The 13,766-nt window shown below is 44.9% G+C and overlaps 1 protein-coding gene across 15 annotated transcripts in view, besides 1 other annotated feature; it reads left to right on the top strand.

Annotated features, from left to right (window-relative positions):
* The window catches only part of DDX31 (DEAD-box helicase 31), a 76,987-nt gene that overhangs the window by 46,287 nt on the left and 16,934 nt on the right, over positions 1-13,766 (top strand). For 9 of the 15 annotated variants that reach the window (NM_022779.9, NM_001322341.2, NM_001322342.1 and 6 more), the window contains 2 exons: positions 5,256-5,367; positions 11,442-11,610. In NM_022779.9, coding sequence (NP_073616.7) covers positions 5,256-5,367; positions 11,442-11,610 — 281 coding nt within the window. Of the gene's footprint in view, positions 1-5,255; positions 5,368-11,441; positions 11,611-13,766 lie in introns of those variants that run through there. The other 6 variants (NR_136309.2, NM_001322340.2, XM_047423735.1 and 3 more) reach the window with 3 other exon arrangements.
* Positions 12,140-12,872: an enhancer, noted in NCBI's record as "H3K27ac-H3K4me1 hESC enhancer chr9:135486212-135486944 (GRCh37/hg19 assembly coordinates)". NCBI's record gives its function as "activates a minimal SCP1, AML or CMV promoter by ChIP-STARR-seq in primed H9 embryonic stem cells {active_cell/tissue: H9 hESC(primed)}" and the evidence as "EXISTENCE:reporter gene assay evidence [ECO:0000049][PMID:30033119]".

The raw sequence follows: 13,766 nt of genomic DNA, 5'->3' as shown, positions 1-13,766 counted from the left end.
CTAAGCCTTAGTTTCTTTTCGGAGAGGCAGTGTAGCAGAGTGGCTAAGAGCACGCCTCAGGGTCACGTTCCTCATCTGTCACCAGCCTGTGATCGGACCTTTCTTTTTTCTTTTTTCTTTTTTTTTTCTTTTTTTTTTTTTTTTTGAGATGGAGTCTCGCTCTATCGCCAGGCTGGAGTACAGTGGCACGATCTTGGCTCACTACAACCTCTGCCTCCCAGGTTCAAGCAGTTCTGCCTCAGCCTCCCAAGTAGCTGGGAATACAGGCGCATGCCACCATGCCCACCTAATTTTCGTATTTTTAGTAGAGACGGGGTTTCACTATGTTGGCCAGGATGGTCTCAATCTCTTGACTTTGTGATCCGCCCGCCTCAGCCTCCCAAAGTGCTGGGATTACAGGCATGAGCCACTGCACCCGGCCTGGACTGGACCTTTCTAAGCCTCAGTTTCTTCGCACGTAAAGTTGAGATAAAATAGTGTTCTTTTAAGGACGTCAGAGGATTGTGTGGGAAATAGTCCTGGAGTCCCAAGTATAAAACATAGGACCAAAGGGCTTTTTTTTTTTTTGAGATGGAGTCTTGCTGTGTCTCCCAGGCTGGAATGCACTGGCGTGACCTCAGCTTATTGCAACCTCTGCCTCCTGGGTTCCACCGATTCTCCTGCCTCAGCCTCCCAAGTAGCTCGATTACAGACACACACCACCATGCCCGGCTAACTTTTGTATTTTTAGTAGAGACGGGGTTTCACCATCTTGGCCAGGCTGGCCTCAAACTCCTGACCTCAGGTGATCTGCCCATCTTGGCCTCCCAAAGTGCTGGGATTACAAGCATGAGCCACCACACGCGGCCCAAAGGGCATTTTTTATTATTACTGTAACTATCAGGATTATTTGTAGTCATACAAGTTAGTAGCAGATGTGGAATTAAAGCCCAGACTCAGGGACATGAATCCCAGTGCCCTTTTTTGCTGTATCATAATAAGTGGAACATTAGCATCTGCCAGCTCTCTAGAAATAAAGGCAAGTAGTACAATTACACAATGAGATAGTAAGTTTGATCAAACGTCGTCTCAGGTATACTCTTTCTGGGCCTGGCATTGGTGTCAGTCTTTATCCCCGAGTGCAGATCATTTCTCTCCAGGGAGTTGATCACTGTGTGTCTGCGCAACGCAGGGAAGCTGTAGAAGGGCAGGAAGCCTCTCCTGAAGGACACGTCCCCAGAGAAGGAGCGGAGCAGCTGCATCTCCCTCCACTCTGTCAGCAACAAGCTACAGTCGTTTTTTTTTGGTAGCATCTGCCCTTCTGTGGCCTTGCAGCATAAATTCTTCTCCTTAAGACTTTCCCTGGCTTGAGGCCAGCCTCAAGGACTTCCTGAGACTTGAGGAGTGGCTCTAACTTCATGAGTAAGAGCCAGGTCCCAGATAGATATGAGTTTGAGTTTGAATCCTTGCTTCCCAGCTGTTAGCTCTGCAATCTCAGGCAGATTATCTTCTCCCCAGTCTCAGTTTTCCCATCTGTAAAACATACAATTGCTGTGAGATTTAAATAAAACGAGGTATAAAGTGCCCTGTAGAGTTCCAGACCTCATAGATTCTTAGGTCTAGAAACTCTGTCTCATGATCTCAGCCCCAGCTCCTACCTTGATAGACAGTAGTGAATGCTTGGATATTTTTAAGGTTTGGTGATTTTTTTTTTTTTTTTTTTTAAGAAAAGCTGAGTAAGTTTGGGCTTTCATGATATAACTGGTTAACTTAGAAAGCTAAATTAACCATCCTACGTTGTAGGTGTCATGTTGGTGAAGACCTGGCTTGCTGAGCCAAGTTTAACTTGAATTCAGAGGAAAAAGAAAAACTAAACTAAATTGACTGTGTTACTAATTATCACATAGATATACACAACCCGAGAGAGTATTTTATGTGTGATTCATGTCAGTAGTAAGAAGAATAAAGTAGATGCTGGATACAACTTTTAAATCTGTTATGCGTAAGAAATAACGTGTGTCTTAATTGCTGTCCTCAATTTGAGCAGTTCTCTAGCATGTGAACTAATGCCAGGCATGTAAATGTGGGTTCAGTAGCTAGGCCTTTCGTTCAGATAGCCAGACACCTCATTACAGTGCCCCTCTCCTTCACCCAGCGTGATTGAAGCCCATGGTAAATGTCCCTTTGGCACATACATTTTTGGGCTTCTGTGAACAGAAAGAAAGCGAGTGAAGCATCTGTAAAATGTATATTTCATATTTAGGTATATAAAACATATATAGCTATGTCTGGGTGTGTGAATGTTCACCTACCTACAAAGAGAATAAATTTGATCTTTCAACTTTACTGGGAAGCACTCAGAAGGTTCTAGGGACCATGGGGGTAAAACTCAGCTTGGCAATAAAGTGATTAAAACAAAACCCTTCCATTTTGCTTAAAAATACCTTGGAAGTTGGCAATATCAAGGTGCAGGCTTTCACAAAAACCTCCCACCTTTGCTATTACTTTTTATAATAAAAATAGTCCAGCCTATTTATCTTAGACTCATCTGTTGCTTCTTGATAGGTGTGAAATCTTCATCATCAAAGTATACACACACCCAACCATGTTTTTCCTACAAGCGTTTTTGTCCTGTGAAATATACCTGTAAACTTATCCCAACAAAGGAGCCGTTGCTGGCATTGCGAGATCTTAAAATAAGTTCAGAGCCCCCTGCTCATCCTTTCTGATGGCCTGTGTTTTCCAAGATCAGTAGGATGTTAGAGACAAAGGTGCATTGCGTGCGGATGGATGGTTGGAAATGTGTTTTTCTAAACTACCCATGGTCCACTAGTTGAAGTTAGCTTCATTAACCAGTACTGACTCTGTGTCTTGGAGGGTGGGAGAGCCAGCCCTGCCAGGTATCCATGTGCCCTCAGGGGTTTGACCCGCTCTCATTATAGGAGCATTTTACCTGTCGGGGGCTGAGATGGTGCTGCATAACTCTGCCCCCCTCTGTCTTCAGTTTAAATTTAGACTGTCCTCCCCAGAAGACAACTGAAAAATACCTCATTCATTCTCAAGAGGGGCAATTTTAAAATAAGGTATTTCTGGAAGCAGGGGTTAGGGAGGAGTAAGATTTTTTTTTTCCTAAGTATTGTATATATTTTTTTCTGCCATTAACTTTTTCTTATATTTTACTAAAACTGACCTTATCATTTCAAACCTGTGAACCTAGTTCTATCCTGTTTTTTTTTTCCCTACGTATTTCGCTTGTATACACACTCACATTATATATATGTAATTTTTTTTTTTTTTGGTTGGGAAGAAAAGATGCCTCATTTTGAAACCTAAAGGGGGGAATAAGAAAAGCCCTTTGTAATATATTGCCATATTATCACTAAATCCCCTGACAGTTGTGACACAGAAGCAAGTCACCTGTCACTTAAGCTTGAGGTCTCTTTAATTTTCTCCTGGAATTCGCACCAGGCTGTCTTTAATTTGAGGCCTTTATTGGAATTCTGAAACCTCTCTGCCTCCCTGGCTCTCAGATCTATTCTGAGAGCTGTTACAGAATGTATACAATAACCAACAGAGGGATTCGGAGAGGGCTGGAGCTCTGTTTATTTAACACTCTAGAGGGATTTTTGTGCTTATTCGGTCCTGGCTGCCCGGCTTTCAATATTGCTTTGACAACCATTCTGCCCTTCTCATTAATTTTAAACAGTTAAAACACAAGAAAAAGAGGAAAAAGTTTTCATTATTAAAGTGCTTTACTTTTTAATAACAGAGGATTCTGTCCGCCAGGGGAAAGGGCATCCTCGCTAATTTCACATTCATATTAAAAAAAAAAAAAAACACAGGGAAGGTGACAGTTGCGCTGCTGAGGTGGCTTAACGAAAGGAGGGCAGCAAAAAAAAGTTTGCATTTCACATCAGTTAAGAGGGTAAAAAAAAAAAAATCCTTGTTAATGACAATAGCAAATGTCCACTTTGGTAACACGGCTCCTGAGTGACTCTTCTCCTGACATTTTAGCGGATAGAACCCTTAGGGGGACCTTGTATTGAACTGTGAAATCAGCGAGACTGTCATCAACCAAACAGGTAGCAGGAATGATTTGACTAAACTAAAAACATTTTCACGTTGTTAAGTCTCTTAATATAGAGATGAACGTCGATCCAGAGAATGAGGCTTTTTCTTTCCTCCCCTTTGTTCTTCCTCTGTCAGCCTTAAAGGTGAAAGAGAGGCTCAGGGAGTCTTAGTGAGGCCAGATGCAGGCGCTCATACACCGTCCTCTACAAGGTTAAGCAGCACGACCCGGTCTCACTCTGGATTTTCCCCGGGGGTTCACACCAGGGTGGCAGGTGGAAGTAGAGGCACTAGCACCACTCAAGTGATCAGTGTCACTTGGCAGGTTGGCCTCATTGGGTGGAAGAATCTGTGTTCTCTTGATTTCACATTCAGTAGAAAGCACTCATGTTTGTTTTACGATATTGGAGACAAAAGCCACTAGTTTTTAGCGGGGATATTTAAAAAGGAAATTTTTTTCTCTGGTACTGTTAAAGGATGAAAAGAAAATAATTGTCTATTTTATTAACATTTTCCATCTGTAGGCTCTTTGCATGCACACAGATGCTACTTCTTACACAGGGACGATTTGCTGCAAAGATCCAGGCAGTCTTTGAGTGTGTTGTCCTGGAACAGCCCACTCACTCCTTAATAGGTTCCTGGCCACAGTGGCCATGGGCTGGAGGAATAAATTTGAAACACTAGAAGTCTGAACCGCTCTAGGCACTGAGGAAGCCTGCTCTGAAATTCAAGGATGGGGTAACTTTTAAAAGCAGAATGTTAGGCAGGTCACTGTGGAGTGCTCATGAAGAGAAATTGTCGGTGTTCCACTGATGCGCGTGAGGGAAAGGTGAAGATTCCTAGGAGATCCAAGACCCATTTGAAAACAGCTCATGTTCAGTGATGTTTTAAATGTCTGAATTGGACTTGGAAAATTCCAAAGTGTCTCCAATGGTCTTTGATTTTGAACATGCATGGTAAGAGGTCAGGAAGAAAAGTAAGTAAATAAGTAAACAGACCTGATGTTCTCTCTCATAAAGCCACCCTCATCCTTACTTGACTTTGACATCTCTATAGCTCCCTTTTTTCCTAGTAATATTGAAAGGATTACCCTTGTTGGCCCTAGGTGGTTACTGTGTGATTTTACTGTTATTAAATCTATTATAAACTGCTTCATTATTCCTGACCTTGACTCTATCTCTCCTTTAATCCTTCCGTCGCCCTCTCAGAAATCCCATGCTGTTGGCCCCCAGGAAATCCGAGAGCGAGCCACAGTCTTGCAGACGGTATTTGAAGATTACGTGCACTCCAGTGAGAGGAGGGTCTCCTGGGCAAAGAAAGGTCAGTCGATTTCCTAGGTGCTTGCGCAGTGGATAGCCCAGCAGAGTGCTCTCCCCCACCTTCACCCACATACCCCCAAACCGGTTGAGAGGCCAACATGGAGGTCCCTGCTCACCAGCCAAAGCCTTCAATCTCCATAATTCTGCAGGGTTTGGAAGCAGGCACGGAAGGCTTTAAAGTGATATTAAATGTTAATTTCATCCTTCCCCATGTTTTGCACAAATGAGGCTTTATCTTGGCTTATATCGGGACTAGAGTTTTGACCCAACAACTTGGATCTTAAGGATCTGTTTTCCTCTTTCTTTGAAAACCAGATAGAAGACATGTGACACGTTAGTAGAAATAGTTGTAGAGATGGAAATTAGAGATGAAGGCCAGAGCTGGAAATATTAGACCTAAGCAGTTCCTATTTGAAGGCACAAAGAAAAACGAGAAAGAACAGTACTGAGGAAGAGCCATAGACCATGAACCCAATTCCTAGGAAATTTATGAAAGAGAGAGGTGTTGACTTAATATTCAGACCCTTTGTTGGATAAGTTGGCTCCTGGGATCACCATACATTAGATGTAGACTTCACAGTTCACGTTGAGTAATAAGCAGTGTATGGCTGAAGGGGGTTTGTAATCACTGGTACTTTTTATCATGGGATGTCTTGGCCAGAGACTGACCATGTCTAATGAGACTTACTCCATGCTGGAGTATGCACAGGGTTTTTTTGTTAGTTGCCTGCTATTTTGAGAAGAGTGCCAGGCTGGCTTACCAATATCGGAACACTGTAGCATCCTTTCTTTTTATAAATAGAAATGCTTTAAAAACCATTCATTTGACAAATATTTATCAAATCGGGCACTATTCTGAGTGCTTGGAATGCATGCGAGATCAAAACAAAAATCCTTGCTTTGTGAAGCCAACATGTTAGTGGGGTGCAGGGGCAGCAGACAGTGAACATAATAAACATAACAGATTAGTCCATTTAAAGGTGACAAGAGCTATGGAATAAGTAGAAGGAGATGGGGGAGGTGAAGGGGTGACATAGCAGAGTGCATTTTTAATGGGGTCAGAGTGAGCCTCATTGTGTAGGTGATACTTGAGCAAAAACCTGAAGTGGGATGAGCCCCGTGGCTCTCTAAAGGAAGGGCATTCTGGGCAGTGGGAGCTGGTGCAGACGAGCTCGAGGAAGGCAGTGTGGGTGGAAAGGGGGTGCTGGCCAAGGCAGAATCACGTAGGACTTTGGGTCTTGGTCGGAATGAAGGGGGAGCAGAAGTGTGGGATCTGACTTAGGTTTGAAAGAGATCACCTGGCTGCTGTGTGAGAATAGACTCTAGCGGGGGCAAGTGTGAAAGCTGGGAGCCTGGCTGAGGAGCAATTGTGGTCACCAGAAAATATAGATGAAAAAATGGGTTAGTCAGCAAATATTGTCAAGGACCTGTTACATACCTTTAGCACATTATAATTGCAATTCTTGGTTGTCGTTAAAAATCAGAACCACACAAGGTAAAAGATGAAGTCCCCGTAATTGCCATTGTATATCCTTCTAGACTTTTCTCTAATAATATCCTGTCTTGGCATTTCCCTAAAGGGAATTCAACAATTCCCAAGGGTTTTCCTACCTTGCTACCTCTAGAGGAGTATTGCTCTGTGTCTCTCAAGAGGAATAGGGTCTTTGTCACAGTGTAACTTTACAGTTTGGACCTTTGATGAAAGTTAGGCAAATTCAGCTGGCTGTGCAGTACATAACAAGGTGTTGTGCTGCTGAATTCCAGGGCTGGTATCAAAGTTGCAGTGGAAAGAAATAAATCAAACCCACACTGTCACCTTCGATTTTGGTGTCAGTGATGCCTCAGATATTTTGGCAAGACTACAACTATTTCAAGGTGTCTCGGTCATCTGAGTGGAAGTTACAGTAATTCTTAAAGGATGTGGTTTTGGGTTTTCTTTCACTGTTATTACCATTGAACTTGTTAATACCATGAAACAAGCAGGGTCACTTGTCTTTTGTTTAAGGAATATTGGAACAGGGTCACTTCCCAATGTTTATGTACCATGAAGGAAATAAACGTATCATGTCTCTTATTTGCTAATCAATTTCCACACCAGATTGATAATGGGCTGGGACAACACCGCCTCTTACAGAGCTCAGTCACCCCATTTCAGACATAAGTCTCGCCACCATTCCTTCTCTCCTGTTTCTTAGGACTGAGTTTTGGAGGCTTGAGAGAGTATACACGTATTTGCCACCCTAAATGTATTGAATTTACTGCATAGGAACAGCCACTGCACCCCATAGGTGGAGACACTCTTTTGCATTTCAATCTGCATATGCAAATTCCCCACTATTGACTTGCTTCCCTTTTATGCCATTTCAGAACCCACCTCCTGAATAATTAACAAAGCAGCTGGCTTTTGCCTTGATGGCAGAAAACTAGTTAGAAACTGGGCCAAGTATGTATTTGTTTTCCTTTTGCATTTTTGGACCCAGTCATTGTTAATAACCAGCATTTAACTGTCAGTTTCCAGAAGCAGTTACCCCTTTTTTCCTCTGTTTTCTTGCATCATTTAGCTAGGGATTCAAGTTGTAAAACGAGTGGTAACATAAGTTTGAATTCCAGATTCCCGAACAAAAATCTTGGAAGCTAGAGTCCTCTGCCTGCAAATGACCATTGCTTCTGTGGCTTAATCCTCTCCATCTTCAGGTCTTCCTGCAGACCAGGAACTCCATGTAGGATTTATGCCTGTTTGGAAGGGATGCTTCTCAAAGTCTAGAAAACCCACACCAGTGATGACAAGTCATTCTTCTCCCCTCAGTGGGGTCAGAGCTAGGCTGGGCACTTTACCAAATGCTTTGTCTTGAAGAGAACAGCAGGGAACCTCCTTTTCCTCCATCCTTTCCGTAGTTGTCGCTGTAGGTGTTGGGTGGTCTTGAAGATGCGTGTGCCTTTATTCTGTACTGAAGGGTGCTCTTGTGGGAGTGGAGGTGGGGTTGGGAGGAGCAGAGATGATCTTCACCTTCCAGGCTGGAGGTTTGTTTATTTCTGTCTCCTTCATCTTACAAGTCATCATAAGATACCACTAGTTTCTGATCCAAATGTCCAGGAATGAAAAAGGACGATGTGTCCATGTGAGATACTTGAAAATAGATTTGCCCTAATTCAGGCACCTTAAGTAGTTGGCAAGAAATAGGAATCAGTGACTGCAAAGTGCTGAACTCTGGTGGCCTGTAGCTTCATCCGTCACCCCAAATAAATGTCTGCTTTCATTACTTCTCCACCTTCCGCTTGTGTGGGTCCCACAGCCCCTGTTCCTTCTGCACATTCTCGACGCTGCCAACATGAGCACTTCCTGCTCCTTGAAAGGTTCTGCAGACAGCTACTGCAGCGTCTTTGAAATTCCTGCTTCTCTGAATTATCCAAACATGGGAGTCCATGCAAGTATGTGAGAACAACCAACTGTCGCTGTCCCCGGTGAGACAGGAGCCTTGAGGACAAGGAGGTTTAGTAAAAATATGCAGTGTGAAATGCTGCCTGGCCAGTTGTCTGGGGAGAAAACACTTCCTGCCACATCTTGGCAAACTCATTATCCCTGTAAAGCTGTTAGCTGGGCACCTACATCTCCTGGGACAGATGCTCTCAGTGCTCAGCTCATAGGATTGGTGGAGAGGAGGAGAGGAAGAGAGGTGACCAGGGTGGAAGCCCAGGGACTCATCTGCATACACAGAAGAGAGGTAGGAAATGAAGAGACCTAGAGCGGGATTTGGGTAACTGAGATTTTAAAAGTGCAGGCTCTTGGCATGGTTTCGGCTTGACTTGGTTTCGGTCTTGTCTTTTTTGAGACCAGAGTGAGTGTTGGGGGTTGGGGAAAGAAAGGTTGAGGAGAAGAGGCTTGAATCTCCTGGGTCGCGTAGCAGTAGAGCCTTTCCCTCTGAGGGCTTGGCTGTGGGGCTCTGTATCTAGTGGGGCTCTGTGTACTCCAAACAGTACAGACCATTTGAAGCGTTAAAGATTTTCTTTGAAAAAGTCCCTAGTTATTAAAAAGGGGAGTAAGCACAGATTTAAGAGTAGGGTACAGAGGAGTTGCCTTGGTTATTATTGCTCATCGATTGGGAAAAGGAGTTCACTTTACTCAGTAAATAGAGCTTTGATGGATTCCCCAGGATCCTTCCAGGAGCTGATCTGCTAAAATGACACTTTTTATTACTGTTCATAAACGCCAATCTCCAGGTGCTGCTGGGATATTATGTTTAAGCTGTGGGCAAACTTGCCAGTCCAGTGGCTCAACAAGGAGAGTGAGGAAGCGAAGGCTGGCATTCAGTGCTTGCCTCCATCAGACACCATCGGCTGGGCTCTGGCTCAGCTGGCAGAAGAGCAGGATTGGAGGTGAAGAGAGCAGTGACAGGGATGGCGGGGAGTGTTTGCAGGATGTCCCCCTCCTTCCTTGTTGGAGTGAGAAGCGGGTGGACACTTGATTTTCATTGTTACTTCCAGATATTCAATCTACGAGAATCTTTCCTCAAGGGAATGCCTAGTTAAGTAGACCAAAGCTCCACCCTCCTGGGAATGAGTCTGGCCTTTTTCTCAGGGAGGAGGGACCTACAACAAGGACCCCCTTTTCTGAATTTAATTTAATTTAGTTTTCCTTGAGACAGAGTTTTGCTCTTGTTGCCCAGGCTGGAGTGCGGTGGCACCATCTCTGCTAACTCCATCCTCAGCCTTCCAGGTTCAAGTGATTCTCCTGCCTCAGCCTCCTGAGTAGCCGGGATTACAGGCACCTGCCACCACATCCGGCTAATTTTTGCATTTTTAGTAGAGACAGGGTTTCACCATGTTGGCCAGTCTGGTCTCAAACTCCTGACCTCAGGTGATCCCCCCGACTTGGCCTCCCAAAGTGCTGGGATTACAGGCTTGAGCCACCGCGCCCGGCCGCTCTTCTTAATTTTAAAACGGCACTGAAACTTTCCTGACGTAGTGTTTGATGAATGTCCCTAAATTGTTGTCAGTCCTCAAGGGACTATTTTAGAGACTTAGTAGTTTTCTTTCTCCTTTAAACATTTGTTTCATTCCCTTTTTTACACATTCTTTGAGCAAGAAGCTCTGTATTGGTTAATCCTGGATACTTTTAGAATGAACTTGGTTTTAAAATCCCATGAGGAAGGCTGGGTGAGGTTGCTCACACTTGTATTCCCAAGCACTTTGAGAGGCTGAGGCGGGAGGACCACCTGAGGTCAGGAGTTCAAGACCAGCCTGGGCAACATAGTGAAACCCTGTCTCTACAAAAATAAAAATTTAAAAATTAGCCTGTAGTCTGAGGCACAAGGATTACTTGAACCCAGGAGCTTGAGGCTACAGTGAGGTATGATCACGTCACTGCACTCTAGTCTGGACAACATAGTGAGACCCCATCTCTTTAAAAAATTTTAAATTTAAAAAGTCCAGTGAGTACACAAAAAACTGGTATCAGGGATTGCCTATGGATAAGGGAGCTGGAGGTGGGGCTTGTGGTGAAGGGGGCATTGGTGGTAATGTCATTCATTCATAGTAAACATGACAGTCATAAGACAGCCTTTTGAACTTTGTAAATTTTGTAACAGACTAGCATGCATTAACTATTCAAAAGTAAGTAAAATTTAATTAGGAAAAATGTGTTAATATAAATGTCTAATGATTTTCTCATTTTCATAAGAAAACGATGTCCTGTGTTGATCATTTCTTAGTTTCTTCACCTATTCTCTCTTTTCACTCATTTACACAACAGACATCTACCGAGTGCCTGCTGGTACCAGGTGCTGTGCTGGGCCCCACCCTGTGGGATTGTTAGGAGCTGTGTGGTCAAATCTGATATTTTATCGGGCATATTCAAGTAATAATTGTGGCCCCCTGTAGTTTTTTTCTTTTTGTTGTTTAGGAATTGAAGAAATACACAGAAGTCTAGATTTTAGTTGTTTGTATATGTTGTAATTGTCCTGCTCATGTTTCGTTGCCTGGCAAGATAAAGTACAGAAGATAACCATTAGGCCGGGCACTTTGGAGCTTGGAGACCCCGGTCCTGACAGCTTCCCTCCCCGCTCTCTTTTCTTTCAGCTCTGCAGTCCTTCATCCAAGCCTACGCCACCTACCCCAGGGAGCTGAAGCACATCTTCCACGTCCGATCCCTCCACCTTGGGCATGTGGCGAAGAGCTTCGGACTAAGAGATGCCCCCAGGAATCTTAGTGCCTTGACTAGAAAGAAGAGGAAAGCACACGTGAAAAGGTAAGATGAGCTGAATTCGTCCCGTGACGGGGCTAGAGAGCTCCGTTCACATGATGTGATGTGCTAGCTGCCATGCTCACCGCAACTCTCTTCTCACTCATACCTGCCCTTCTCCCAATAAACAAGCACTTGGAATGAGAAGAAAGCCACCTCATCTTGCAGAAATTCAGGGGTGCCTCCTTTTGGGCCCAAATGTGGTGGGGTTCATAGGGCCCAAACGTAGTCGGAGCTTCAGTTGTGCTGCGGTCCGCCCTGGAAAGCATCCGAGATGTGTATGACACATTCTGGTGTGTTCTGTGTGACGAGGCCTGGGAGCATACCTTGTTCCAGTGAGATGGAAGGGCTGAGTGCCCAGCCTCAGATTCCAGGAGCTGCTGAAGCCCAGATCTCTAACAGGCTGGCTTTGGGGTCAGTGCTGGGCTCCTTGCTGCTGAGTTGCACCTCCAGTGGTGAGCGCTCATCAAGGCAAGAGCGGTGAGCCCTTCCCCTTTCCTCCCAAAAAGAGCCCTTTCCTCCCAAAAAGAGCATGTTCAGGACTTGTCCAGAGGTCCTGGGGAGAGGAAGGAGAGGGAGGGGTATTGCCCTGTTCGAGGCTGGGCTCTGAGTCTGTTTTCCCAGTGCTGAGATGATTTCCCTCAGCATGCTACATTTGTAAAAGGCCTTCTTCCTCTCCTCAAAGACGTTCTTTTAGTACCAGCCTCAGCCCTCACAGGAGCCAGAGCGCGTGAGGCCCTGTGAGCCACTCATGTCAGAACTTTGGGGCGGATGGTCTCATTGTTTATGTGGGAACGGTCCGTTGAACAAATGTTTGGGGCACAGAGACTTTTTTTCTCACCTGTCCTGATTTCTGGGTTCAATCCCAGAACGTTGTGGATGGTTAGTTTGCATTGTTTATCCTCCCTTTTCCACGTTAATTTACAAACGCCGCAGGCTCCCCCACTGACTCTGGGAATCTGCAGGCAGAACCACTCTGAGCTGCCTGTTCCTGCCCAGTGTCCAGCTTGCCTGTTCACCGGGAAGGACCACTCTGTGCTTCCTGTTCCCACACGATGTCTGGCTTCTCCGTTCACCGGGAAGTGTCAGTTATTCCATCAGTCTTGTCAGGGCCCCGTTTCTCTAGCCTGTCACGGCAAAGACAGAGGGACCACCCAGTGGAGGGAAGTGACCATTGGTCTTGCAGTCAGGGAAGTTGGATTGAAGTCGGCTCCGTTCTGATGTGAGTTTGGGGCCTTCCCTTTTCTTAACGTCTCCGAGCCTCGATCTCAACTACACTAGGGGGAGGAAAATCCATATTTTTAGTTACTTCACGAGATTGTCTTGAGAATCAAAATCAGGTGATTCCTGTAATCCCAGCACCTTGGGAGGCCCAGGCAGGCAGATTGCTTGAGGCCAGGAGTTAGAGACTAGCCTGGGCAACATAGCGAGACCCTGTCTCTACAGAAAAAAAAAAAGATGAGGTGACTTGTGAATATGCTTTTTGAACCATATAGGGCCCTGCAGATGAAGGTTCTTACAAGCTAAAAAGCAGATTCGGGGACATCCAACTTGACCTCTCTGGGGGACTTGGCACCTCCAAGTCTCATTGGAATGGATACAGTGTTGCCTAATTCTCTTCCCAGTTTTGGAATTTTTAAGATGCTTGATTCTTTTCTGATACTAATAACTCTCACATAGGACAATGCTCCAGTAATTCTTTGAGGAAAAACAAACAGAAACTGTTTCTATGTGCTGCTCTACTGCAGTGCCTAGATGAGTGTGGACGTGTCCTTTGCTGGTTCCTTCTAGGCCATTTTGAGGTTCAGGAGTGCAGAGCAGGGCTGCAGCCCAAAGATGTTTCTGCTCATCCTCTGCTCGAGCCAGGCTGTCCTCCCAGAGGGCCATGATGCCTCAGCTCTACTCCCAGGCCCTCTTGGCTGTGCCAGGATTCTAGGCTGCGGGGCCTGGGAACTGGGTTCCCAGATCCTGTCTTAGGATCTGCTCTCCCCAGTACTCATGCATGTTAACTTTGATTTGAGTGCGGAATGAAACCATGAGGCTTCCCAGCTGATGACTAAGAGTAGCCTCATCATCAGAAGCCTGATCATTTTGTTACCATCTCGGCAATGGTGACACTTTGAGAGCAGAGGAAGAGATCTGCCAAATGATTACTGTTAAGA

The sequence above is a fragment of the Homo sapiens genome, chromosome 9 (genome assembly GCF_000001405.40).
Source record: "Homo sapiens chromosome 9, GRCh38.p14 Primary Assembly".
Lineage (NCBI taxonomy): Eukaryota > Metazoa > Chordata > Mammalia > Primates > Hominidae > Homo > Homo sapiens.
The sequence above is the reverse complement of the archived record's forward strand: the minus strand, read 5'-3'. Positions and strand labels throughout refer to the sequence as shown.